The 27822-nt window shown below is 48.9% G+C and overlaps 2 protein-coding genes and 1 long non-coding RNA gene across 8 annotated transcripts; 2 read left to right on the top strand and 1 right to left on the bottom strand.

Annotated features, from left to right (window-relative positions):
- NFKBIL1 (NFKB inhibitor like 1) lies at positions 1 to 11979 on the top strand. 4 transcript variants are annotated; one of them, NM_001144962.2, is made up of 4 exons: positions 1 to 123; positions 1313 to 1589; positions 10778 to 10999; positions 11172 to 11979. In NM_001144962.2, exons 2-4 carry the CDS (start codon positions 1325 to 1327, stop codon positions 11759 to 11761), a joined length of 1077 nt encoding a protein of 358 aa, NP_001138434.1. In that variant the 5' UTR covers positions 1 to 123; positions 1313 to 1324; the 3' UTR covers positions 11762 to 11979. The 4 variants fall into 4 exon arrangements, with proteins under 4 accessions (NP_001138434.1, NP_001138435.1, NP_004998.3 ...); NM_001144963.2 differs by having other exon boundaries at positions 10778 to 10954; NM_005007.4 differs by lacking the exon at positions 1 to 123 and adding an exon at positions 758 to 901.
- On the bottom strand, positions 12721 to 25853 carry LOC100287329 (uncharacterized). Its single transcript, NR_149045.1, has 2 exons — positions 25733 to 25853; positions 12721 to 13872 (listed from the first exon to the last, which is right to left on the bottom strand). It is a non-coding gene; the product is annotated as an uncharacterized LOC100287329 (long non-coding RNA).
- Positions 13760 to 27474, top strand: LTA (lymphotoxin alpha). 3 transcript variants are annotated; one of them, XM_047418773.1, is made up of 6 exons: positions 13760 to 14419; positions 24642 to 24805; positions 25285 to 25452; positions 25884 to 25991; positions 26078 to 26183; positions 26431 to 27474. In XM_047418773.1, the coding sequence occupies exons 4-6, from the start codon at positions 25893 to 25895 to the stop codon at positions 26841 to 26843; spliced, it is 618 nt and encodes a 205-aa protein (XP_047274729.1). In that variant the 5' UTR covers positions 13760 to 14419; positions 24642 to 24805; positions 25285 to 25452; positions 25884 to 25892; the 3' UTR covers positions 26844 to 27474. The 3 variants fall into 3 exon arrangements, with proteins under 3 accessions (XP_047274729.1, NP_001153212.1, NP_000586.2); NM_001159740.2 differs by lacking the exons at positions 13760 to 14419; positions 24642 to 24805 and having other exon boundaries at positions 25249 to 25452; NM_000595.4 differs by lacking the exons at positions 13760 to 14419; positions 24642 to 24805 and having other exon boundaries at positions 25439 to 25596.

Genomic DNA, 27822 nt, shown 5'->3' on the forward strand with positions numbered 1-27822 from the left:
ATCCCAGTCGGAAAGGTCTAGGGATGAGGCAGGGGCGGAGACGGGGGAGTACTGAGGTGAGAGAAGGAGAACTTGATTGGTGGTAACAGAGGAAGCATAAAGGGTTGTGAATGCGGTGAAAAGGTAAGGATGTCATCATGCAACCTGTGTTGGGAAAAGAGCATTCTGGGCTTAATTCTAAACTAACTCTCTACCTTTCTCTCTCTCTCCACCATCCCGCCCCCTCCCCTGCCTCCCGTTGTTAACATCTCCATCTTTTTCTACATATTTCTCAAGTCCAAATTTTTGCATCTCACTTGCCCCATCCTACGATAGTCTTCTTCCGTCTTTTGTCTGTATTTTTTCTTTTTTTTTGATCTGTCCCTGTTGTTGTCCCACTGTGGTTTTTGTTTTTGTTTTCCATGTTTAATGTGATTTTTATCCTGTCTTTATCTCCTCTATTTTCTCTGTCTTCTCATCTTTTCGTCCATCACTGAACCATCTCCTCTCTCTGCCAAGTTAGAGGAGGCGGGAAAAAACCTCCAAATAACTCTCTTTTCTCCCTCCCCTCCCCTCGCCTCCTTTTCCTCGCCTCCAGTCCAGTCTTCTGGTTTCAGACGGCCCCTTTAATTTAAGTTCCCTAGTTTCCCCTGGGAGATCTGGCCAAGAACTACCCGGTCGGGGCGGAACGACATCCGGTAACGCCCCTCACAGTTCACTTCCGTCCTCCACCTGCGTCTCTGCTTGCGCCATTTCCTCCAGCCTGGAGTGTCTCCGCCCTTCCCGCCTCCCGTCTCCGAGCTTCTTAAACACAGGCCTTGGGCCTACGGCTCTGGGGGTACTTGGGGGGGCGGGGGCAGGTCTGATGAGTAACCCCTCCCCCCAGGTTCCAGAGGAAGAAGCCTCCACATCTGTCTGCCGGGTACATGATATTCAATTTCTAGATCATTATTGGAGATTATCTGTGACTTTTTAAAACTCAGATTTCTGCTGATAAAAATTTTCCCCATCCGGCCCTGTTGGGTTTTTTTAAAGTTCTTTGTTAAAAATTAAAAATTTACCTGGGCTCCTGAGCCTTAAACCAATTATTTACCCTTTTCTCGAATTTTACATTAAAAAAATTAAACCTCTGATCCTATCACCCCCCTCAAAAAAAATTTTTTTTCAAATCTATCATCTGATAAAGGATCAGGGTTAGGTTAGGCCTCATCTCTTGCTGAAGATATTAAAAAAAGACGGAACCAAAGGGAGAAACAACAGGGGATGTCAGAGATGGAGGGAGAAGGACCAGCCAAGGCTGAAGTCCTGACTGCTGCCTTTTTTCCTTCCCCAGCCCAAGAGTTCCATGGCCTCCACTTCCCGCCGCCAACGCCGAGAACGTCGCTTTCGTCGTTACTTGTCTGCAGGACGGCTGGTCCGGGCCCAGGCCCTCCTCCAGCGACACCCAGGCCTCGATGTAGATGCTGGGCAGCCCCCACCACTGCACCGGGCCTGTGCCCGCCACGATGCCCCTGCCCTGTGCCTGCTGCTTCGGCTCGGGGCTGACCCTGCCCACCAGGACCGCCATGGGGACACGGCACTGCATGCTGCTGCCCGCCAGGGCCCAGATGGTGAGTCTGCTCAGTGGGGAACAAGGTCATAAGCAGCTGACCAGACCTGAAATGAAAGCCAACCAATAGTTGAGAAATAAGCTGGTTATTTGGTCATCAGGACCTAGGGAAGGAGTTAACCAAGTTGGCATGTGGCTGTCATTTGTCCCTTTACATTACTGAGCTACCATTGTCTGAAGAACCCAACATTCCCCAAAGATCAACTGGTCTTCAAATTTCACATCTGTTTAGATTAGTAGCTACTTTGTTTCTTGACAGATTGTTTGCTCGTAGCCAAAAAGTAGCATAGAAGGTAGGCTCTGGAGTTAGATTGCCTGGATTCAAACCCCAGCTCCAAATCCCAGCTCCACACTTCATAGCTACGTATTCTTGGACAGGTTACTTGAGGCTTAGTTTGCCCATGTGTAAAAATTAAAATAATAACAACCTTTGCTATGTGCCAGACATTTCTTATAAAGTAACACATTTAATCCTCACAACAATCTTAGGAGGTGAGTACTGATATTATCCCCCATTTCCCAGCTGAGGAAACAGGGCATAGAGAAGTCATTTGCCAGAGTTACAGTTATTCACTGGTAGAGCAGAGATTATAACCCAGATGGACTAGATAGAGTGTCCATGCTTTTAACAGCTACATTGTCCTGTGTTATACATTATAGCATTGTACATTGATTGTGCCCATGTTCAGAGTACCCATGTTGTGCCATATATGTTTTGAGAATCAACTGACATAGTACATAATTAGAGTACCTGGCACACACGATAAGCACTTGGTATATGCTGGCGATTGTTGTTCCTGTTTCTCTGTTTTTTGTTTTTGTTTTTGTTTTTTATGAAGTTTCACTCTTCTTGCCCAGGCTGGAATGCAATGGTGCGATCCTGGCTCACTGCAACCTCTACCTCCCAGGTTCAAGTGATTCTCATGCGTCAGCCTCCCAAGTAGCTAGGATTACAGGCGCATGCCACCACGCCCAGCTAATTTTTATATTTTTAGAAGAGATGGGTTTTCGCCATGTTGGACAAGCTGATCTCGAATGCCTGACCTCAGGTGATCCACCAACCTCAGCCTCTCAAAGTGCTGGGATTACAGGTGTGAGCCACCACACCTGGCCTTGTTCCTGTTTTTGTTATCAACAGGTCCATACTCCCTTAACCACAATTCTAAACTCAAAAACACTCTGAGAACCAACATTTTTCATCAGGCTGCCACCAAAATTCATTTGGTGACAGAAACCTAATCTGAACTAAAGTAAGACTATTATTTATTTTCATCCTACTGATGTCAATATTCATACATTTCCCTGCAGAAACACTCATGTGTTTGGTTCTTGGGCTGCCTAGGCCCTCCTGGGCTACCTAATATAGAGTGAGTGTACTTTTAGGTCAGCCCTATCAAGTCCCAAAAACATTTGAATTCTGCAAAACCTTTGGCACTGAAGGATTCAAATGGGGAACCTGGTGATATTATAATAGTGGTGGAGGCCAGGTGCGGTGGGTCATGCCTGTAATCCCAGCACTTTGGGAGGCCAAGGCAGTCAGATCACGAGGTCAGGAGTTCGAGACCAGCCTGACCAACATAGTGAAACCCCCATCTGTACTAAAAATACAAAAATTAGCCAGGCATGGTGGCACACACCTGTAGTCTCAGCTACTTGGGAGGCTGAGGCAGGAGAATCACTTGAACCCGGAAGACAGAGGTTGTGGTGAGCCGAGATTGCACTACTGCATTCCAACCTGGGCAACACAGCAAGACTCCGTCTCAAAAAAAAAAAAAAGAGTGGTGGAAGCAGCTCTTTATAGGTAGAGCCCTGCTTACTAGAATAAAAGCTGAAACCTTCTTTCCCCATCTAGAGATTTCCTTCTGGAGTAAGAACATTACAGGAAAACCTCTAGATCCAGATGAACAACCCTAACATCCCCCAGCTCAAGTATAGACAGAAGGCCCCTCCCCCAAAACTCCCCCAAATGGTCAAAAAACCCCCTATTTAAAAATTTCCTTTAACGTACCTGAGATAGGCTAGCATATTCAGATTTGTTTCTTGTTGTTTTTACTTAAAACAGAGTAGGTTTACTGAGTGCAGGCATCTAACTTGACAGCTCATATTGTAAGAGGCAGGACCCTGGAAGGCAAAAGAGCGGATTACCCCGAAGCAGACCTGCATCCAGACCCCAGCTCTGCCATCAACAGGGACATGCAGCTTACCTCTGTGAGCCCAATTTGCCTCGCAAAAATGGGAGTTTTGTTTTTTGTTTTGTTTTGTTTTTTTGAGATGGAGTTTCCCTGTTGTTGCCCAGGCTAGAGTGCAATGGCGCGATTTCAGCCCACCTCAACCTCTGCCTCCTGGGTTCAAGAGATTCTCCTGCCTCAGCCTCCCAAGTAGCTGGGATTACAGGCATGCACCATCACGCCCGGCTAATTTTGTATTTTTGGTAGAGACGGTTTCTCCGTGTTGGTCAGGCTGGTCTCAAACTCCCGACCTCAGGTGACCTGCCAGCCTAGCCTCCCAAAGTGCTGGGATTACAGGCGTGAGCCACCGCGCTCAGCCAAAATGCCCCTGATAGTGTGGTAGGGATTTCCTTTATTGTTTGTTTGCTTGTTTGTTTTGAGACAGGGTCTCATTCTGTCTCCCAGCCTGGAGTGCAGTGGTGCAATCATGGCTCACTGCAGCCTCTACCTCGTGGGCTCAAGCAGTCCTCCCACCTCAGCCTCCCTAGTAGCTGGGACTACAAGCACACACCACCATGCCCAGCTAATTGTTTGTATTTTTGGTAGAGACTGTTTTGCTATGTTATCCAGGCTGTTCTGCATCTCCTGAGTTCAAACAGTCTGCCCACCTCGGCTTCCCAAAGTGCCGGGACTAGAGGCGTGAGCCACCACACCCAACTCCATTGTATTGAATTTTAAGAAGCTGGTGAGACTGATATTATCCCATTTACAGATGAGGAAAGCAGGGCCCAAAAGGTTCGGGAACTTGTCTGAAATCTCACAGCTCTCAGGTCATTGTCTTCCAAAGGGGGACCCAAGCTCAGTGCCTTCACTCCCAGACCCTGGTGTCCTCTCTGGCCTTATTTACTCCTGGTCCTCTGCCAGCCCTGCCACCAGATGGCCTTCTAACTCCTTGGTTGAAAGGCCCATCTCATTCAGCTTCCAGCTTCCTTTTTCTTTTCCTTTTGAGACGGAGTCTTGCTTTGTCGCCCAGGCTGGAGTGCAGTGGCATGATCTCGGCTCACTATAACTTCTGCTTCCTGGGTTCAAGCGATTCTCCTGCTTCAGCCTCCCAAGTAGCTGAGATTACAGGCACACACCACCATGCCCAGCTAATTTTTTTATTTTTATTTATTAATTTTTAAATTTTTATTTGTTTATTTATTTTTGAGACGGAGTCTCCCTCTGTTCCCCAGGCTGGAGTGCAGTGGCAGTATCTTGACTCACTGCCACCTCCGCCTCCTGGGTTCAAGTGATTCTCCTTCCTCAGCCTCCTGAGTAGCCGGGACTACAGGAGCCTGCCACCATGCCCGACTAACTTTTGTATTTTTAATAGAGATGGGGTTTCACCATGTTGGCCAGACTGCTCTCGAACTCCTGACCTTAGATGATCCACCTGCCTCGGCCTCCCAAAGTGCTGGGATTACAGGCATGAGCCACCATGCCCGACCTAATTTTTGTGTTTTTAGTAGAGATGGGGTTTCAACATGTTGGCCAGGCTGGTCTCAAACTCCTGACCTCAAGTGATCCACCCACCTCAGCCTCCCAAAATGTTGGGATTATAGGCATGAGCCACCGTGCCCATCCCACAGAATGTCTTTTGGTTTTGTTTTTGTTTTCTGTTTTGTTTTGTTTTGTTTTGTTTGAAAAGGAGTCTCATTCTGTCGCCCAGGCTGGAGTGCAGTGGCACAATCTCGGCTCACTGCAACCTCCACCTCCCAGGTTCAAGAGATTCTCCTGCCTCAGCCTCCCAAGTAGCTGGGACTATAGGCGTAGGGACTGTAGGCGTATGCCACCACGCCTGGCTAATTTTTTGTATTTTTAGTAGACACGGGGTTTCACCATGTTAGCCAGGATGGTCTCGATCTCTTGACCTTGTGATCTGCTCACCTCAGCCTCCCAAAGTGTTGGGATTACAGGCGTGAGCCACAGCGCCTGGCCAAAATGTTTTTATGTTTATTTTTCTTAGTATGAAACTCCAGCGTATTAAAGAGCATTGAGAACGGTTGATCTGGTAAATCGCTATAAAGGCGGCATTTCTTTTTTTTTTTTTTTTTTTTTTTTTTTGGCGAAGTGGGGGATGGAGTCTCATTCTGTCGCCCAAGCTGGAGTGCAGTAGTGTGATCTCGGCTCACTGCAAGCTCCGCTTCCCAGGTTCAAGCCATTCTCCTGCCTCAGCCTCCCAAGTAGCTGGGATTACAGGCGCCCGCCACCACGCCCAGCTAATTTTTTGTATTTTTAGTAGAGACAGGGTTTCACTGTGTTGGCCAGGCTGGTCTCGAACTCCTGACCTCATGATCCGCCCGCCTCGGCCTCCCAAAATGCTGGGATTAGAGGCGTGAGCCACCGCGCCAGGCCTAAAGGGGGCATTTCTAATACTGGAGAAAGGTGAACTTTTTTTTTTTTTTTTTTCCGAGACAGAGTCTCGCTGTGTCACCCAGGCTGGAGTGCAATGGCGCAATCTCAGCTTGCTACAACCTCCGCCTCCCGGGTTCAAGCAATTCTCCTGCCTCAGCCTCCTGAGTAGCTGGGCACCTGCCATCATGCCCAGCTAATTTTTGTATTTTTGTAGAGATGGGGGTTTCACCGTGTTGGCCAGGCTGGTCTTAAACTCCTGTCCTGACCTGAGGTGATCCACCCACCTCAGCTTCCCAAAGTGCTGGGATTACAGGCATGAGCCACTGTGCCTGACCAGGTGAACTATTTTATAAATAATATTGGAACATTTGGCTCATCTAGGGAAAAACAAGAGTCCCACCTCACACCTAATCAAAAAGTAAATTCCAGCAGATTAAATACCTGAATATGACAGGAAGGTACACACCAAATTCATGGGACAGATGGCCTGGGGAGGAATGAAACTTGGAAGGCGGTATCACGGTAAACTACCTTTATCTGTGATGATTTTATTTCCTTAAAATAAATTATACTACAAACATGACAGTACATTAACAAACCCTGTGGTAGGAATGGGGTTGTGTATTGTATTATACTTTGTATTTTTGAGAGTTTTTTAATTTCTTTTTTGTTGTTGTTGAGACAGAGTCTCACTCTGTCACCCAGGCTGGAGTCCAGTCGCGCAATCTTGGCTCACTGCAACCTCTGCCTCCCGGGTTCAAGCAGTTCTCTGCCTCAGCCTCCCAAGTAGCTGGGATTACAGGCATCCGCCACCACGTCAGGCTAATTTTTGTATTTTTAGTGGAGACGGGGTTTCACCATCTTGGCCAGACTGGTCTTGAACTCCTGACCTCATGATCCACCCACCTTGGGCTCCCAGAGTGCTGGGATTACAGGCATGAGCCACCGCGCCTGGCCGAGTTTTTTAATTTCTAAAAATAAAAATGAGTATACATCTAAAGTAGTAGAAGAAAATGCAGAGAATGTTTTATAATCTTAAAATAGAGCCTTCCTAAGAGTGAAGTGAAATAAAAAGTCAGAAAATAATATATTGATATAGATTTAACTACATGAAAATTTTAGGCCGGGTGCGATAGCTCACACCTGTAATCCCACACTTTGGGATGCCAAGGTAGGCAGATCACTTGAGCCAGGAGTTCAAGACCAGCCTGAACAACACAGTGAGACCTGGTCTGTACAAAAAATACAAAATTAGCCAGGCGTGGTGGTACGTGGCTGTCGTCCTGTAGTCCCAGTTACTCAGGAGGCTGAGGTGGGAGGATCGCTTGAGCCCAGGTGGGGCAGAGTTTGCAGTGAGCAAGATCATGCCACCGCACTGCAGCCTGGGCAACAGGGTGAGACCTTGTCTCAAAAAGAAAAAAAAAGCTTTTTTAAAGATAGATAGAAGAAAATGTTTGCAATATGTATAACACATACAGTATATAGAACCCTCATATCAATATATATAATTTCCAAAGAAAAAGTGGATAAAGAATATGAGCAATTCATTCACAAAAAATACAAATAGCCAAAAGACATGAAAAAGAAAAAAACATTGTTAATAAAATAATTTTTTAATCTATCCAACTGGCAAAATTAAAAGGGTTGATGATATTCAATTTTGGTAAAGGAAGACATAGGCACACTTGTATATTGGCACAAACTTATTGAGAGCAGTTTGACCAAATTGCGCATGTCCTTTGACTCAGAAATTCCACTTATGAAAATCTACCCCCACAGAAAGACTGTAAGATACTCATGAGGCTGAACATTTTTTGAAACAAAGTCTATCGATATTGGGGTAAGGAGATTTGTTTTGTACACACAGTGGAACACTAATTATAAAGTCGTCAAAAAGTATGAGGTAGACTGTATATATTCCTGTGGAAAAATATAAATGAGATGTTAAATGAAAGAAGCAAGTTGCCAAGCAATATTTGTAGTATGGTTACATATCTCCAAATAAATGTGTCATATGTATGCTTTTAGGTACACCAAGGTGGGACTGGAAGGGATCACAGTACACTGTTAATAGTTATCAAATTTGTTCGTCCTTCTTTAAAAAGAAAATTTCAACTTAATTATATCCCTTTCACATTAAAATGTCAAATAAAATTGGGGGAAAAGCCACCTACAGCCCCACCACCCATAGGCTAGAATTTTTACATATTTTTTGCCAGTCTATTTTTTTTCTTTTTTTTTTTTTTTTTTTGAGATGGGAGTCTCCCTCTGTTGCCCAGGCTGGAGTGCACTGGCATGATCTCAGCTCACTGCAACCTCTGCCTTCCAGGTTCAAGTGATTCTCCTGACTCAGCCTCCCAAGTAGCTGGGATTACAGGCACATGCTACCACGCCTGGCTAATTTTTGTATTTTTAGTAGAGACAGGATTTCACCATGTTGGCCAGGCTGGTCTCGAACTCCTGACCTCAGGTGATCCACCCGCCTCAGCCTCCCAAAGTGCTGGGATTACAGGCCATGAGCCACCACGCCCGGCCTCTTTTTTTCCAACCATAGGATTTGGTCTCTTGTTTTAGACAGTTATTATCTGATCCTCTCTCTCTCTCTCTTTTTTTTTTTTTTTTTTTTTTTTGAGATAGAGTCTCACCCTGTCACCCAGGCTGGAATGCAGAGGCGCGATCTCGGCTCACTGCAACCTCCGCCTCCCAGGTTCAAGCAGTTCTCTGCCTCAACCTCCCAAGTAGCTGGGATTACAGGCGTCAGCCACCACGCCTGGCTAATTTTATATATAATATAAAATATAATTATATATATATTTTGTTTGTTTGTTTTAGTAAAGACGGGTTTTCACCATCTTGGCCAGGCTGGTATTGAACTCCTGACCTTGTGATCCATTGTCCCCCCCCCCCAGCCTCCCAAAGTGCTGGGATTACAGGCGTGAGCCACCGTGCCTGGCCACATCTGATCCTCTCTACAGTTTTGTAGCCAGCTTTTTTCAAACACATGCCTCAGTTGTAGTGGCTGTTTAATATTATGTTTTTATAGTTGGAGGCCCTACTCCTTAAAACCTATGAATGTAAACCTCCCATGCAAGCCTGAGCACTCACCATGCTCACCACCTGAGCTCAGGTGGGGAACAAGCGAATGAGAGACAGGACCAGGTACTTTCTGGGTGGGACAAGTTGAGAGGGTCTGTGACAGGTCACAGCAGCACTAGGGAGAAGTGCCCCCCCCCACCAACCCTGATGTGATTTGGGTAGGGATGGTGGGCCTTCGCCAGCCACACCTGGGCCATTCTGTCTTCTTGCCTTCCTGGCCTTGCCTTCCCCTATTCCAGCTTTCTGCCAGGTAAACAGTACTTTCCAGCACTACCAAATAAAGATTTAAGGACTGCTAGCCCATTTCCTCTTACCCCGGGGAAAGAAAGTAGGTCCACAGGAAGGAAGGCTGCCTCCCTCCCCTTCTTCTATCCCCCAAGTGAAAGAGGTGGTTGGTGGCCACAGCAGGTGGGCCTGGCCAGGATGCCTGGGTTGGCAGTGAAGGAAGTAGCATGGCACTCAGCTAACCTTGGGCCAGATGCAGCAAGGTTGGGACTGAAGAAAAGGGGAGTTCAGGAACGTCGGTTCCTCTCCTGTTTTCTCTCAGCCCATGGGTGAGACCCTCTGTCACACTCCACTCCCTTTCCCCTGCCCTAGGTCAGCAGTCATTTGGAAAGAGCTTGCTCTGCCGCCGGCCATAGTTGTTGCCGGTTCACCTCCCCACCCCTCTCCCATCATCCCCTGGTAAGGCTGGCTGAGAGAAATTCCCCTGAAAACATTTATTTTACTCAGTTTATTGATAAGTGATAATAAAAGATAAGTATTACATATTTGTGTATTTATTAATGGCCCAGAGTAGAGCATTCAGATATTTTCCCAGTCTGATATATGGTTTCAGGTGAGAAAATAAGGGATTTATATAGTGACAATATTTTTAAGTGAAAAGTGGAATACATAGTCAAAGAATTTGGGCACTGCCTTGGTGGCTGGAGGCAGGTCAGAAAATGTCAGTTGGCATGGTAGAACTTCTAGGACGCTGAAATAGTTTGTGGAGACACAAGTAAGAATTTTTTTTTTTTTTTTTTTGAGACGGAGTCTTGCTCTGTCACCTAGGCTGGAGTGCAGTGGCACGATCTCGGCTTACTACAAGCTCCACCTCCCGGGTTCACATCATTCTCCTGCCTCAGCCTGCCGAGTAGCTGGGACTGCAGGCGCCCGCCACCAGGCCTGGCTAATTTTTTGTATTTTTTAGTAGAGATGGGATTTCACCATGTTAGCCAGGATGGTCTTGATCTCCTGACCTCGTGATCCGCCCGCCTCGGACTCCCAAAGTGCTGGGATTACAGGCGTGAGCCACCGCGCCTGGCCGAGAATATTTTAAACTACCACACTTACCATGCATGTGGTAAACTATCAGTCTGTATTTATCAGTGATGGTTATTTCCTAATACCCAGGAGGCATCCATGTGAGCCACCCTTCCATTGCTTTAAGACCAAGGGAGCGAGTGACCAGCAGGATTCAAGATGGCAGCTCTGCCGAGGAGTGGGAGTCCCAGCTAACTTCTGCTCCCTGCTCTCCCACCAACAGCCTACACCGATTTCTTCCTCCCGCTGCTAAGCCGCTGTCCCTCCGCCATGGGAATAAAGAATAAGGATGGGGAGACCCCTGGCCAAATTTTGGGCTGGGGACCCCCCTGGGATTCTGCTGAAGAGGAGGAAGAAGATGATGCCTCCAAGGAGCGGGAATGGAGACAGAAGCTCCAGGGTGAGCTGGAGGACGAGTGGCAGGAAGTCATGGGGAGGTTTGAAGGTGAGAAGTCCACTGCTATCCACAGCTGCCCTTCCCCACTGGCTGCTTTCCATCTGCATGAATGCGTCACACTAGGCTCCTCTGCCCCCTCCTCTGTGCTTCCCTGCTTCTTGGGGCCCATCACCTTCTCACAGCCTCTCTCCAACTACCCCCATCCCACCCTCCCAAACAGGTGATGCCTCCCATGAAACCCAGGAACCTGAGTCCTTCTCAGCCTGGTCAGATCGCCTGGCCCGGGAACATGCCCAGAAGTGCCAGCAGCAGCAGCGAGAAGCAGAGGGATCCCGTCGACCCCCACGTGCTGAGGGCTCCAGCCAGAGCTGGCGACAGCAGGAGGAGGAGCAGCGGCTCTTCAGGGAGCGAGCCCGGGCCAAGGAGGAAGAGCTGCGTGAGAGCCGAGCCAGGAGGGCGCAGGAGGCTCTAGGGGACCGAGAACCCAAGCCAACCAGGGCCGGGCCCAGGGAAGAGCACCCCAGAGGAGCGGGGAGGGGCAGCCTCTGGCGATTTGGTGATGTGCCCTGGCCCTGCCCTGGGGGAGGGGACCCAGAGGCCATGGCTGCAGCCCTGGTGGCCAGGGGCCCCCCTTTGGAGGAACAGGGGGCTCTGAGGAGGTACTTGAGGGTCCAGCAGGTCCGCTGGCACCCTGACCGCTTCCTGCAGCGATTCCGAAGCCAGATTGAGACCTGGGAGCTGGGCCGTGTGATGGGAGCAGTGACAGCCCTTTCTCAGGCCCTGAATCGCCATGCAGAGGCCCTCAAGTGACCCTAGGGAAGAAGCAAGAAACTTCGGGGCTGCAGCCTCAGGATGAGGCAGAAGGAAGGGTAAGGGAAAGGATGGGGACCACAAGGAAGAGCCAGGTGCTGCTCAGCAGAGGATATGGGTGGGAGCGAAAGTTGTAACAAGTGGGGGTGGGGGGTGCGGGCCGCCACCACTGCTCCTTGACTCTGCCGTTTCCTAATAAGACCTGGTTCCACATCTCACTCCCAGTGTCTCCTCTGTCTTTTTCCATTGCTGTGGTTTTCATCACCCATGACATCTCCTTTCCCGCCCCGCCTGCTGAAACCCACAGCTCCCACACACCTGCAACACACACGCACACGCTAACACGGGCTCTGAGCTGGAGGCAAGAAGCCTCTGCATGCCCCCTCAGTTCAGCCCTAAGAAGGCCCAGTTTGCCATCCAGTCTCACTCCACTCCCTACACTGGGGTCTTGTCCACCCTGCAATCTGTGGCTGGAGAAATAGATGCGAACAGAGGCAAAAAGGGGAACAAAACCAGTTTCCCTCCCCTCCCTGGCTCCCCAAGCTGAACCACATCCTCCTCCCCACTTAACACCCCCTTCCCCCAACACAGGGCTTTCCCTTTGCTGAGTCACTGAATGAGCGAGTTGGGGGTAGCCGGCGCTGGGGGGCCATGAGGAGGCTGGGGGAGGATGGGGAATACAAGCAGAATGGCTGGAGGAAGAGCCCTGTGGGGGAGTGGAATTTCAGTTGCTAAAATTAGGAGCAGGGGAAGGAGGTGGAAAGAGCAAAATTATGTAACATGGGTTGTCTGTTCTTGGGCAACTGGAGCTCCACACCCAAAGCCAGCCAGGCTGCTGGCTCCATCCATCTCTGCCCTCTAGCTTGTCAGTTGTATCTCTCTTCCTCCAGGGCCCCAATCCTCATCTCCGCCATTCAGCTGCTGCCCCATCCTAAACCTGAGTTCATCTCTGGGCAGCCCAGGCATGGCCTTCCCTATAAACATTTCCTTTTCCAAGAACCAGTAGTTGAAGTCCTGAGAGGTGGAGGGAGAGTCTGGGATTCCCACGGAGGAGAGAGGGGGGCTCCCTGGAAACTAAGATAGGTAGACCCCACTACCATCGCCCAGGACACAACTGGGAACTTGGCAAAAAGAAAGGACAGGGCTGCAAGGAGAGTACAGACATGTGCTGGTGAGTGCACTGTCTGCATAGTTACACCAGAGCATCTTATCAATCAGAAACTTATCTTTCAGGTTTTGAGCCCAGTTCTCTACAGGAGAATCCCAGGAGTGGAAGTGGAAGGCAGTAGAAGACAGGGAGGGCACGCCTCTGGGAACACGGGAACATGGGTGGGCATGAGATCCTTGAATAAGACAGCCTGAAGTTCGGAAGAGACCAAGGCCTCTGAAGGACCAGGCAGATGTTCAGGGTGCAGGAGGGGGAAGGGCTGGTGAGAAAGATCCTGTGAGAGGAAGCTGCTGTGATTCAGAGAAGAGACTTCAAGCTGTGTGTGACCCTGGCGTCCGGTTCCTCTCACAGGCTGGAGCTTTTCGGAAGTGGCATGCAAAGAGTCCAGGTTTGGCCTTGGGGGGAGTTGGGGTTAGGATCCCTAAGCTGGAGGTTGAGAAGTAAATTACAGAAAACTCTGGTGACCAAATTTGCTCCTCCACCCAGGAGATTTCTCACTGGTTTTTAAGCACATCATTTCCCCTTCTGCAAGAGTTACATAAAACCAAAGCAAAATAAGCCCTGAAACCTGGGCCCACCGGACCACAGTCTTTTCAACGTCCCTTCCTGGTGTCTGGCCCCCAGCCCTGGTGGGGGTTCCCCTGAGATAAGGGCTGTTCACTTTCTCTGACCACATGGTTTCCGCTTCTGTGTCTCTTGTTTCCTAGGCTGATAAAAATACTGAGCCCTAGAGGCCCTGGCTTCCTCTGACCCCTTGGGGCAGGCAGCAGGCATCCTGTCCAGCATGGTGGGGGCAGGGACAGGGGCCAGGGATTCCCAAGGGGTGACTCAGTGCCTGCCATGAAACAGTGGGTAGGTGGAAGTGTATCTCTGCTCTCTAGAGCTGGCACCAGGAGTTGAGTCTCAGTGGAGGATGCATTGGGATTCAATTGGAGGAACAGGCCTGGAAAAGAATAATGAGATTGAAGAGGGTCAGTTTGAGGACTCAGGTTGGGGCAGGTTTGGATTAAGTTAGGAAAAGGATCTGGGAGGGACTCTGTTCAGTGTAGGTCAACTGAGCATTATGTAGCCCAAAGATAAATTTAAACCCTGCTTCAAGCTTACAATCTAGTGGGGAGGCAGACCCATACCTAGTTAACTGATTCAAGGCATGATGAGTAAACTTTAAGATGATTACAGAAAGAGGGGAGATTAAGTCCATTTGAAAGCATCCAGGGAGCCTCTGAGGAGACAGCATTTGAACTTGCTCTAATGAATGGGTTCACTAGGTGGAGGTGGATGGAAAGGTTCCATAGGCGAATAACACGTCTTGAGCGAGCCTGACAAGTCAGAAAATGCAGTATGTTCTGGGAAAGGAGCGTCCTGAGGGAGAAGAAGCACAGGTGTGAGGGAACATGTGATGAAGAAAGGACCACAGAAAGTCAAGGTCAGAGATTGGACTGCATCCTGTGGGCAGTGGTCCAGGTGACGATGAAAAAGAGGGAGAACAGGTGAGTGCTGCAGTACAGACAAGGAGTAAGAAAACGGCCATCATCTTGTGAATTAATACCTACTGTGTGTTAACCAGCCCTTTTCCTAACACCACAAATCCTCTCAACGTCTGTCCAAAAGGTGGGTGGTGGTGGCCAGGCACCTCACTCCTGTAATCACAGCACTTTGGGAGGCCAAGGTGGGAGCACTTTGGGAGGATCACTTGAGGCCAGGAGTTCGAGACCAGCCTGGCCAACATGGTGAAACCCCGTCTCTACTAAAAATATAAAAACTAGCTGGGTGTGGTCTTGGGCACCTGTAATCCCAGCTACTCAGGTGTCTGAGGCACAAGAATCACTTGAACCCGGGAGGCAGAGGTTGCAGTGAGCTGAGATCATGCCTCTGCTCTCCAGTCTGGGTGACAGAGCAAGACTCTGTATCCAAAAAAAAAAAAAATTATTAAGCACCTATTAGGAGCAGGGCACTGCTTGACAATAGGTATAAATAATAAAGTCACTGCCTTCATAGAACTTGCAGTCTAATGAGACAGTATACAAATAATAACTATACATTATAGTTATAATGTATAGGTATGCCTGCTTAGGGTAATAAAGTGCTCAATGAAGGTTTGAGGTACCAGCATGACTCTCAGGTGGAGATTTCCAGAAAGCAGGTCTGGAGCTCAAGAGAAGTTGGGTCTGGAGGAACAGATTTGGGCATCATTCCCTTCCCAGTAGAGGTTGAGCCTTTGAGTGGACAGGATCTTCAAGGGAGGGGGCGGAGTGACCAGAAGAGCCCTGAGCATGATCAAAGGAAGAGAACCAATAAAGGAGAGGTTGGGGAGCAGTCAGAGAAGCAGGGCACGGGGGGCGGGGGATGCCAAGCAGAGACAGGGCAGCCATGTTTGAGGCTTCAAAGAGGTCTAGTAAATGAGGGTTGAAAAGATTGTTGGGTTCAGGAACTAGACGATTACAAATTTTGAGAAAACCGTTTCCATTTAATAGAGGGGCAGAAATCACTTTACATAGGTTGAGGAATGAGTGGGAGGTGAGGAAAAGGAGGTGGTGGGCATGAGGTCAGAATGGTGAACACAGAATAACTGAGAATCATCTCTTAGTTCTACCCACAGATTTTACAGTTGAGGGAAATTTTACCAGTTCCTGAAAAAGTGGTTCGTTAAGGGGGCTAGTCTTTTGAGACATCACACGAAAACGGAAGGTGAGATAGACTGGACATTTGAGGGAGAAATATTCCAAGGAAGGATCTTTTTTGTTGTTTATTTTCAAGAAATAAAATTGAAGGTAAAATGAAGATGCTTAAAGAGACAAAGATAGGCCAGGTGCAGTGGCTCACACCTGTAATCCCAGCACTGTGGGAGGCCAAGGTGGGCAGATCACTTGAGGCCAGGGGTTCAAGACTAGTATGGCCAACATGGCAAAACCGCATCTCTACGAAAGATACAAAAATTAGCCAGGCGTGGTGGCACATGCCTGTGGTCCCAGCTATTCACTGAGGTGGGAGAATCGCTTGAACTCAGGAGGCAGAGGGTGCAGTGAGCCGAGATCACACCACTGCACTCCAGCCTGGGTGACAGAGCGAGACTCAGTCTCAAAAAAAAAAAAAAAAAAAGCCCAGGTGCGGTGGCTCACCCTTGTAATCCCAGCGCTTTGGGAGGCTGAGGTGGGCAGACTATAGATATCAGGAGTTCAAAACCAACCTAGCCAACATAGTGAAATGCTGTCTTTACTAAAAATACAAAAATTAGCTGGGCGTGGTGGCACACGCCTGTAACCCCAGCTACTCAGGAGGCTGAGGCAGGAGAATCACTTGAACCCGAGAGGTAGAGGTTGCAGTGAGCCGAGATCGCGCCACTGCACTCCAGCCTGGGCAACAGAGCAAGCCTATCCCAAAAACAAACAAGAAAGGGAGAGATAGTGAAAACATAAGCAAGAAGTGGGGAGAGAATATAGTAAAGATAGAGGAAGTGGGATAGAGTACAGATAAAAGGATCAGTCTTGGAAACAAGAAAAAGTACTGTGAGTCAGTATGTAAGGAAAGATTAAATATAACAAAATTAAGGAAAAAGAGGGAAGTGAGATCCACACTTGATGGCCTTAAGCTCAATGAAATATTAATAGATGAGAGTGAAGAACATCAGAGGCACGGAGATTTAGAACATCACGCACAGTAGTATAATGGGGAGTCAACAAAGAATGAGTAAAAGTTGTGTCCAAGAACACTGATGACTCTCTGAGATTAGCTGGCCAGGATTAGTTATAGGCCTCTTATGGTGACTCAGCTGTCTACTGCAGCGCTTGGCAGCCTAAGACAAAGCCCCAAGAATGAGACCACTTAGTTTACCCAAGTCAATTTTTGAGACAGAGTTTCACTCTTGTTGCCCAGGCTGGAGTGCAATGGCTCAATCTTGGTTCCCTGCAACCTCTGCCTCCCGGGTTCAAGCGATTCTCCTCCCTCAGCCTCCAGAGTAGCTGGGATTACAGTTGCCCACCATCACGCCCAGCTAATTTTTGTATTTTTAGTAGAGATGGGGCTTCACCACATTGGCCGGGCTGGTCTCGAACTCCTGACCTCAGGTGATCCGCCCACCTTGGCCTCCCAAAGTGCTGGGATTACAGGTGTGAGCTACGGTGCCCGGCGGTAAGAGATTCTAAAATGCAGACAAAGTGGAGTTGAAATTGTTGACCATGCAGTACATGTTAAATCAACAAGCAAAACCAGGAAAGCAGAAGCAGCCGGAAGTCTTGGTAAGAATAAAGAACTGATTCAAGGGGAGGCAGAGAGTGGGAGATGTGAAAAGTGAGTGGTTGTGATGAGAAGGGTAATTCAGAGATCAAGATCTTGAAGGCATAATTCTTCCAAGTGATGCTGGGGTTTGAGGTACAACCTTACTCCTGGGTGGCTAAAATGGAGGAGGGAAGAAGAGGCTGTAAAACCAGTAGACTTGAGAAACTTGGAGAATTGAGAGGCCAGACTGTAAGACTCATCTGATCTGTGTGGCTTCTTTTTTTATTTTTATTTTTTTCCTCTGAGACGAAGTCTCGCTCTGTCACCCAGGCTGGAGTGCAGTGGTGTGATCTGGGCTCACTGCAAGATCCGCCTCCCGGGTTAATGCCATTCTCTCGCCTCAGCCTTCCGAGTAGCTGGGGCTACAGGCACCCACCACCACGCCCAGCTAATTTTGTTTTTGTATTTTTAGTAGAGACGGGGTTTCACCTTGTTAGCCAGGATGGTCTCGATCTCCTGACCTCGTGATCCACCCGCCTCAGCCTCCCAAAGTGCTGGGATTACAAGTGTGAGCCACTGCGCCCAGCCGATCTTTGTGGCTTTTAAAGTCACTAAAGATGGTGGTAGGAGGCCGGGTGCGGTGGGTCATGCCTGTAATCCCAGCACTTTGGGAGGCTGAGGCGGGTGGATTGCTTGAGCTCAGGAGTTCAAGACCAGCCTAGGCAACATAGCAAAACCCTATCTCTGGAAAAAAAAAAAAAATACAAAACTTAGCCGGGCACGGTGGTATGCGCCTGTAGTCCTAGCTACTCAGGAGGCTGACGTGGGAGGATCACTTGAGCCCAGGAGGTCGAGGCTGCAGTGAGCCAAGATCACGCCACTGCACTCCAGCCTGGGTGACAGAGCAATACCTTGTCTCAAAAAACAAACAAACAAGGATGATGGTAGGGATAAGATGTGGAGAAAGACTGAGCTAGTTATACAAGTTGTTAAGAGCATAATAAATATTTTGATGGATAAGATTGTGCTGTGAAGACAGGAAAAGCATGGCAAATGCAAAAGGCACGTGCTTTGGGAGATGAGGAGGAGTTTATCAGTGGTCTGGGGGAGAGAAAATAACGACCCCTCTCTTCTGCCTTCATTCCCCTAGTGATGGAGGTCGAAGAAAGAGCAACCTTCACCACAGAGAGGAGTAGCATCATTAGGGGAAAGCCAGGTTTCAAAATGCCCAGAGGAAAATGCTTTCAAACATAGAAGACAGGATTTGAAAATGTGAAGAGTTCCACCAAATATTGTGAAATGGATTGGTAGAAGGGTCCTTGTGGGGTAGGGAATTGAATCCAGGGAGGTTAAATCCCAGTGGGAATTCAGAAGACTAAGTCTGGAGAGTTTAGCTTCTAGGAGCAGGAGGTTGTTGCCTCTGGAATTCAGAATGGAAGATGCACTGCATCCATTGTGAGGGGAAACAAGTGCCTCAAAGGGGTCTTATAGGGATGCACAAGATAAGTTCCATGGCTTTAAACACCATCCTCATGCTGACCATGCCCAGGTTTCTTTCTCTAGCTTGGACCTTGCCCCTGAAATCCAGATGTGTATCTGCCCAGTGGCATCTCTACTTGCATGTCTAATAGACTTAGACTTACCACACCCAAAATAGAATTTTTTAGTTTTTCCATCCATCAGAATCCTGCTTCTCTCCCAGTATCTACATCTCCCACCCATCAATCCATCATCTAGTCCTGTTGTTTCTACCCCTGGAATGTATAATATATCCCAAACTTGTCTACTTCTCTCCATCTCCATGGCTGCCACTATTTTCTCTTCACCATCAATGCCACTGCCACCTGTCTCCTACCAGCCAGCCTAAACACAGGAGCCACAGTGATCTTTTAAAAACAAGTCCAGGCTGGGCGCGTTGGCTATGCCTATAATCCCAGCACTTTGGGAGGCCGAGGTGGGTGGATCACGAGGTCAGGAGTTCAAGACCAGCCTGCCCAACATGATGAAACCCTATCTCTACTAAAAATACCAAAATTAGCCAGGCACGGTGGCGCATGCCTGTAATCCCAGCTACTCGGGGGGCCGAGGCAAGAGAATCACTTGAACCTGGGAGGTGGAAGTTGCAGTGAGCCAAGATCATGCCGTAGCACTCCAACCTGGGCAACAGAGCGAGACGCCATCTCAAAAAAAAAAAAAAGTCCAGGCAAGGCTCAGTGGCTCATGCCTGTAATCCCAACACTTTGCGAGGCTAAGGTGCAAGGATTGCCTGAGGCCAAGAGTTGAAGGCTGCAGTGAGCTATGATGGTGCCATTGCACTCCAACCTGGGCAGAAAAGTGAGACTCCATCTCTTAGAAAAAAAAAACCAGGCCGGGTGCAGTGGCACATGTCTGTAATTCCAGCACTTCGGGAGGCTGAGGCAGGCGGATCACTTGAAGTCAGGAGTTCAAGACCAGCCTGGCCAACATGGTGTACTTTCTATACTAAAAGTACAAAAATTAGCCAGGCATGGTGACATGCACCTATAATCCCAGCTACTTGGGAGACTGACATAGGTGGATTGCTTAAACCTGGGAGGCAGAGGTTGCAGTGAGCCGAGATTGTGCCACTGCACTCCAGCCTGGGTGACAGAGCGATTCTGTCTTAAAAGAAAAAAAAAAAAAAAAAAGGCTGGGTGCGGTGTCTCACGCCTGTAATCCCAGCACTTTGGGAGGCCGACGCAAGTGGATCACCTGAGGTCAGGAGTTCGAGACCAGCCTGGCCAAGATGGTGTACTTTCTCTACTAAAAGTACAAAAATTAGCCAGGCATGGTGGCATGCACCTATAATCCCAGCTACTCAGGAGGCTAAGACAGGAGAATCGTTTGAACCCGGGCAGCAGAGGTTGCAGTGAGCTGAGATTACGCCATTGCACTCCAGCCTGGGCAACAGAGTGAGACTCCGTCTCCAAAAAAAAGAAAGAAAAAAAATCCAGGGCCAGTGTGGTGACTCATGCCTGTAATCCCAAAACTTTGGGAGGCTGGCCCAGCATGGTGGCTCACACCTGTAATCCCAAAACTTTGGGAGGCTGAGGCAGGCGGATCACCTGAGGTCAGGAGTTTGAGATCAGCCTGACTAACATGGTGAAACCCCATCTCTACTAAATACAAAAAATTAGCCGGGAATGGTGGCATGCACCTGTAATCCCAGCTACTTGGGAGGCTGAAGCAGGAGAATCGCTTGAACCCAGGAGGCAGAGGTTGCAGTGAGATGAGATCAGTCATTGCACTCCAGCCTGGGCAACGAGCGAAACCGCCTCTCAAACAAACAAAAAAAAACTTTGGGAGGCCAAGATGGGCAGATCACTTGAAACCAGGAGTTCGAGACCAGCCTGAGCAGCATAGACCCTGTCTCAACAAAAATTTTAAAATATTTTTTAAAATTAGCCAGGCACAGTGGCACACACCTGTAGTCCTAGATACTTGGGAAGCTGAGGTGGAAGGATGACTTGAGCCCATGGTTTTGAGGTTGCAGTGGGCTATGATGGTGCCACTGCACTCCAGCCTAGGCCACAGAGCAAGACACCATGTCAAAAGAAAAAAAAATCCAATCACCTCTGCTCACCTCCCTCTTTCTCTCTCTCTCTCTCTCTCCCTCCCCCTCTCTCCCCTGCAACACACACACACACACACACACACACACACACGCACGCATGCACGCACCACACACTCTGACGACCTTTAAAGGCTTCCTGTGGCTGGATGAAATCTAGAGGCTTTACCCTTCTTGCATGGCCCTGCATGACCTGGCCCCTGCCCTCCTCTCTGACCTCATCTCCCACCCGCCTCCCAGTCTCTCTCTCTGCTCCAGCCACACTGGCCTTCTGTTTGTCGTCAACACCCCCAGCTTGGTTCCGCCTTCCAGCCTTTGCAGTAGCTGCTCCCTTTACCTGAAATGCTTTGCTCCCAAACTTTTACCTGGTCACTATTTTTTGTCATTTGGGTCTCAGCTCCAGTGCCACCCAAACACTCAAAGAGGATTTTGCTGACTACTGTATTTAAAAGTAGCTCCCTGCCACTCTTACAACATCAGCCTGTCTTATTTTCTCATAGTACCAATTTCTTCTTCAGTTTCTTTCTTTTCCGTCTGGCCTCACTGGAATACAAGCTCCACAGGTGCTGGTACCTTCTCTGATCCCTTTGCCTCCATGTCCCTCCTGCCTTAGGACAATGCCCAGCATGTGTTAGGCACGCAGATACTCACTAAATGGAGGAATGGATGAATAATTCATAAAGCAGGATAAAGTTCAACTTTAGGCTTGTGGCTCAGATTGGACTTACATTTAGAGTCAGATTTAAGTTTAGTGTTAGGAGTGGTGGTAAACTGGTTTCAAGATTAGCCCTAGAAACAGGGTTGGGTTGGGGTAGAGGAGAAGTTTTATTTAGGGGGTTATTAATTGGGATGTGTTTAGATTTAAGGTTAGGGTTACAGTTGGGGTTGAGTTTGAGTTGTGATTTGGGTTGAGGTTAAATTTGGGTTAGGGTTGATGTTGGTATTAAATCCCAATTCAGGTTTTGAGGCTAAGTTCAAGTTTGAAGCTAATGTCATTTCAGTCTCATTTGGAGGCTTCAGAGATTTCACTAGTTTCTCCACAAAGACCACTATAAAGACTGTATTTCCCTGAGTCTGGGGCACAAGACTCCAGTCATCAGCTCTCCCACCCAGGGAAAGTCCCAAACCAACTGCTGGCCTGCCCAAGAAAGAAACCAAATTCATACAACCTCCGAAACTGAGATTGAAACCAAGATTGGCCCATCTCAAGGAGCATCCTTCGCATATCTCACATGCACGTGACACTGAGCCTCAGCCCAGTCTTACCCTTCCTTCCTCTGTGTCTCTCATGTCTCCCCATCACCCTTCTTGCCTTCCCTTTTTTGTCTTTCAATGTCCCATTCTTCCTCTTTAATTTAAATTTCTCTCTGTGTCTCACTGTTAATTGCAATACCTTTTTTTGTTTGCTTGTTTTGTTTTGTTTTGTTTTTTGGTTTGTTTGTTTGAAATGGAGTCTCACTTTGTTGCCCAGGCTGGAGGGCAGTGGCACGATCTCGGCTCACTGCAACCTCCGCCTCCTGGGTTCAAGCAGTTCTCCTGCCTCAGCTTCCCTAGTAGCTAGGATTACAGGCGCGTGCCACCATGCTCGGCTAATTTTTTGTATTTTTAGCAGTGATGGAGTTTCACCGTATTAGCCAGGATTGTCTCTATCTCCTGACCTTGTGATCTGCTCGCCTCAGCCTCCCAAAGTGCTGGGATGACAGGCATGTGCCACTGCTCCTGGCCTTGTAATAACATTTTATATTTTAATATAGCTCAGCTGGGGTCCCAGTCCATCAGCTCATACCATTAGAGAAGCAGAAAGAGACAACAGGAAGCAAAAAGGACCCTGAGAGAAAGGGCAACACAGAGAAAAAGAAAGGAGCAGGGGCTAAAAGGGAAACCCACACTGACACAAGAGATAATAAGGTTAAAAGAATGAGAAGAAGGTTGGGCGCAGTGGCTCACGCCCATAATCCCAGCACTTTGGGAGGCCAAGGCTGGTGGGTCACCTGTGGTCAGGAATTCAAGACCAACCTGGCCAACATGGTGAGACCCCGTCTCTACTAAAAATACAAAAAAAAATTTGGCGGGCTTGGTGGCGTGTGCCTGTAATCCCAGCTACTCGGGAGGCTGAGGCAGGAGAATAGCTTGAACCTGGGAGGCAGAGGTTGCAGTGAGCCAAGATCGTGCCACTGCACTCCAGCCTGTGCGACAGTGAGAAACTGTCTCAAAAAAAAAAAAAAAGGAAAAGAAATTTTCTGACCTATCTCATCTGATAGTAGGTTATAAGACCCTCATTCCAGAAGAGGTTCTGCCCTATACCTGGGAGGAAGGAATGCTGTACAGAGAGACCAAGAAGAATATGGCCAGGCCTTGCTGGGATCCCCCCAGTCCCAGTCTGTGACCATTAGATGATACTCCTTTTGTTCAATTACATTTCTGCACAGCTGTTCATTCTTCATCAAATCTAAGCATAAAAATAGTTTTCCCCTGGGTCCTTGGGTCTTCATTTCTGAAGGCTCCCATGTCACCTAAAACTTTGATTAAATAAATGTATTATGCTTTTCTCTTGTTAATCTGTCTTTTATTATAGGAGTATTGGCCATAACCCTTATGATGGGTCAGGAAGGGATCACCCCTTTCTGCCCCTACAGAAATAATAGCTAAGACTAGTAAAGCATAAAAGGCAAAGGGGCAGGTCCTCAAGTAGAGAAGAACAGGAGAAATAGCTCATACACACCCAGAATGTTACTTACATGTCCCTCCATGTTACACCAAGACCCCTCAGGGACCTTGTGCCTGGGGAGAGAAGTGGTCTGCCCCATGCAACAGTGGGCTTTACCCCGGGTCACCACCAGCCCCAGCTCCAACCCCTCTAACACTCTCCAAGTAAAATCACATCAGTAGCAGTAATAATATTTGAGGTGACAAGTTGGTATTATCTCAAACTTAGGAAAAGTGAATAAAGTCATCTTTAGAAACTGCTTTTTTTAAACCTTGTAACTTGCAAGCTAAGTGAAAATGGGCTCATGTATGAGAATGTTCGTGTTAGACATTTTTTGTGTTAGACAAAAACTAGAAACAAACCAAATCCCCATCAACAGAATATATTAGAATATATTGATACAATAGAATATTACATCATAATTTTTTTTAAAAACATTACTGATACATACAACCACGTATATGAATCTCACAAACATAATGCTGACTGAAAGAAGTCAAACAGAAATGAGTACATTCTGTGTGATTTCATTTATATGATGCCCCAAACCAGGAGGAAATAATCTATGGTGATAAAAGTGAGAGAGTGGTTGGTTATCTTTGGAGGGTATCAGCAGGGAGGGGGCATGAGGGAACCTGCTGGGGACCTGAAAATACGTGGAGCTGGGTGGTGGCTACATACAGATGGAAAAATTCATCAGCTGTACACTTAAGAGGTGTCCACCTCATACCTAAGTTACATATCAATAAAAAGGAAAAAAATTTTGGAAACTTTTTTTTTTTTTTTTTGAGACAGAGTCTTGCTCTGTCCCCCAGGCTGGAATACAGTGGTGCGATCTTGACTCACTGCAGCCTCCGCCTCCCAGGTTCAAATAATTCTCCAGCCTCAGCCTCCCGAGTAGCTGGGACTGCAGATGCGCACCAGCACGCCTGGCTAATTTTTGTATTTATTATAGAGATGGGGTTTCACCATGTTGGCCAGCTGGTCTCAAACTCCTGACCTCAAGTAATCCGCCCACCTCAGACTCCCAAAGTGCCAGGATTACAGGTGTGAGCCACTGCACCAGGCCTGGAACAATTTTAAAATAATGTATTGGCTCTGCAAATGCAGCTTCAGAACAAGTCCCTTAGCTGTCCCCACCCCACCCTAAGTCACCACCCTTAAGCCTCACCCATGTGGAATTCTGAAACTTCCTTTGTAGAAAACTTTGGAAGGTGTCTGCCACATTGATCCTGGAATGTGTGTTTATTTGGGGTTATATAAATCTGTTCTGTGGAAGCCACCTGAAGTCAGGAAGAGATGGAGGGCATCCTTCAGGAGTGAGATGAGACCTCATCATACTTGACTGTCCAGCATCATCTCTGAGTAAGGGGACCAAAAAATTTATCTTCCAAACTAGGACACTTTCAAGAGTGGAAGGGGGATCCATTAATATTTTCACCTGGACAAGAGGCAAACACCAGAATGTCCCCGATGAAGGGGATATATAATGGACCTTCTTGATGTGAAACCTGCCAGATGGGCTGGAAAGTCCGTATACTGGGACAAGTATGATTTGAGTTGTTTGGGACAAGGACAGGGGTACAAGAGAAGGAAATGGGCAAAGAGAGAAGCCTGTACTCAGCCAAGGGTGCAGAGATGTTATATATGATTGCTCTTCAGGGAACCGGGCCTCCAGCTCACACCCCAGCTGCTCAACCACCTCCTCTCTGAATTGACTGTCCCTTCTTTGGAACTCTAGGCCTGACCCCACTCCCTGGCCCTCCCAGCCCACGATTCCCCTGACCCGACTCCCTTTCCCAGAACTCAGTCGCCTGAACCCCCAGCCTGTGGTTCTCTCCTAGGCCTCAGCCTTTCCTGCCTTTGACTGAAACAGCAGTATCTTCTAAGCCCTGGGGGCTTCCCCGGGCCCCAGCCCCGACCTAGAACCCGCCCGCTGCCTGCCACGCTGCCACTGCCGCTTCCTCTATAAAGGGACCTGAGCGTCCGGGCCCAGGGGCTCCGCACAGCAGGTGAGGCTCTCCTGCCCCATCTCCTTGGGCTGCCCGTGCTTCGTGCTTTGGACTACCGCCCAGCAGTGTCCTGCCCTCTGCCTGGGCCTCGGTCCCTCCTGCACCTGCTGCCTGGATCCCCGGCCTGCCTGGGCCTGGGCCTTGGTGGGTTTGGTTTTGGTTTCCTTCTCTGTCTCTGACTCTCCATCTGTCAGTCTCATTGTCTCTGTCACACATTCTCTGTTTCTGCCATGATTCCTCTCTGTTCCCTTCCTGTCTCTCTCTGTCTCCCTCTGCTCACCTTGGGGTTTCTCTGACTGCATCTTGTCCCCTTCTCTGTCGATCTCTCTCTCGGGGGTCGGGGGGTGCTCTCTCCCAGGGCGGGAGGTCTGTCTTCCGCCGCGTGCCCCGCCCCGCTCACTGTCTCTCTCTCTCTCTCTCTTTCTCTGCAGGTTCTCCCCATGACACCACCTGAACGTCTCTTCCTCCCAAGGGTGTGTGGCACCACCCTACACCTCCTCCTTCTGGGGCTGCTGCTGGTTCTGCTGCCTGGGGCCCAGGTGAGGCAGCAGGAGAATGGGGGCTGCTGGGGTGGCTCAGCCAAACCTTGAGCCCTAGAGCCCCCCTCAACTCTGTTCTCCCCTAGGGGCTCCCTGGTGTTGGCCTCACACCTTCAGCTGCCCAGACTGCCCGTCAGCACCCCAAGATGCATCTTGCCCACAGCACCCTCAAACCTGCTGCTCACCTCATTGGTAAACATCCACCTGACCTCCCAGACATGTCCCCACCAGCTCTCCTCCTACCCCTGCCTCAGGAACCCAAGCATCCACCCCTCTCCCCCAACTTCCCCCACGCTAAAAAAAACAGAGGGAGCCCACTCCTATGCCTCCCCCTGCCATCCCCCAGGAACTCAGTTGTTCAGTGCCCACTTCCTCAGGGATTGAGACCTCTGATCCAGACCCCTGATCTCCCACCCCCATCCCCTATGGCTCTTCCTAGGAGACCCCAGCAAGCAGAACTCACTGCTCTGGAGAGCAAACACGGACCGTGCCTTCCTCCAGGATGGTTTCTCCTTGAGCAACAATTCTCTCCTGGTCCCCACCAGTGGCATCTACTTCGTCTACTCCCAGGTGGTCTTCTCTGGGAAAGCCTACTCTCCCAAGGCCACCTCCTCCCCACTCTACCTGGCCCATGAGGTCCAGCTCTTCTCCTCCCAGTACCCCTTCCATGTGCCTCTCCTCAGCTCCCAGAAGATGGTGTATCCAGGGCTGCAGGAACCCTGGCTGCACTCGATGTACCACGGGGCTGCGTTCCAGCTCACCCAGGGAGACCAGCTATCCACCCACACAGATGGCATCCCCCACCTAGTCCTCAGCCCTAGTACTGTCTTCTTTGGAGCCTTCGCTCTGTAGAACTTGGAAAAATCCAGAAAGAAAAAATAATTGATTTCAAGACCTTCTCCCCATTCTGCCTCCATTCTGACCATTTCAGGGGTCGTCACCACCTCTCCTTTGGCCATTCCAACAGCTCAAGTCTTCCCTGATCAAGTCACCGGAGCTTTCAAAGAAGGAATTCTAGGCATCCCAGGGGACCACACCTCCCTGAACCATCCCTGATGTCTGTCTGGCTGAGGATTTCAAGCCTGCCTAGGAATTCCCAGCCCAAAGCTGTTGGTCTGTCCCACCAGCTAGGTGGGGCCTAGATCCACACACAGAGGAAGAGCAGGCACATGGAGGAGCTTGGGGGATGACTAGAGGCAGGGAGGGGACTATTTATGAAGGCAAAAAAATTAAATTATTTATTTATGGAGGATGGAGAGAGGGGAATAATAGAAGAACATCCAAGGAGAAACAGAGACAGGCCCAAGAGATGAAGAGTGAGAGGGCATGCGCACAAGGCTGACCAAGAGAGAAAGAAGTAGGCATGAGGGATCACAGGGCCCCAGAAGGCAGGGAAAGGCTCTGAAAGCCAGCTGCCGACCAGAGCCCCACACGGAGGCATCTGCACCCTCGATGAAGCCCAATAAACCTCTTTTCTCTGAAATGCTGTCTGCTTGTGTGTGTGTGTCTGGGAGTGAGAACTTCCCAGTCTATCTAAGGAATGGAGGGAGGGACAGAGGGCTCAAAGGGAGCAAGAGCTGTGGGGAGAACAAAAGGATAAGGGCTCAGAGAGCTTCAGGGATATGTGATGGACTCACCAGGTGAGGCCGCCAGACTGCTGCAGGGGAAGCAAAGGAGAAGCTGAGAAGATGAAGGAAAAGTCAGGGTCTGGAGGGGCGGGGGTCAGGGAGCTCCTGGGAGATATGGCCACATGTAGCGGCTCTGAGGAATGGGTTACAGGAGACCTCTGGGGAGATGTGACCACAGCAATGGGTAGGAGAATGTCCAGGGC

The sequence above is a fragment of the Homo sapiens genome, chromosome 6 (assembly GCF_000001405.40).
Source record: "Homo sapiens chromosome 6, GRCh38.p14 Primary Assembly".
NCBI classification, from domain to species: Eukaryota; Metazoa; Chordata; class Mammalia; order Primates; family Hominidae; genus Homo; species Homo sapiens.

What these genes read in the sequence shown, in the direction of transcription:
- NFKBIL1 (NM_005007.4), top strand. Translation starts at nt 845, where the DNA reads ATGAGTAACCCCTCCCCCCAGGTTCCAGAGGAAGAAGCCTCCACATCT. An exon ending in CCTCCACATCTGTCTGCCGG is followed by an intron (nt 902 to 1,312) that starts GTACATGATATT and finishes TTCCTTCCCCAG; the next exon opens with CCCAAGAGTTCCATGGCCTC. An exon ending in TGCCCGCCAGGGCCCAGATG is followed by an intron (nt 1,590 to 10,777) that starts GTGAGTCTGCTC and finishes TCCCACCAACAG; the next exon opens with CCTACACCGATTTCTTCCTC.
- LTA (XM_047418773.1), top strand. Translation starts at nt 25,893, where the DNA reads ATGACACCACCTGAACGTCTCTTCCTCCCAAGGGTGTGTGGCACCACC. An exon ending in TTCTGCTGCCTGGGGCCCAG is followed by an intron (nt 25,992 to 26,077) that starts GTGAGGCAGCAG and finishes GTTCTCCCCTAG; the next exon opens with GGGCTCCCTGGTGTTGGCCT. An exon ending in ACCTGCTGCTCACCTCATTG is followed by an intron (nt 26,184 to 26,430) that starts GTAAACATCCAC and finishes GGCTCTTCCTAG; the next exon opens with GAGACCCCAGCAAGCAGAAC.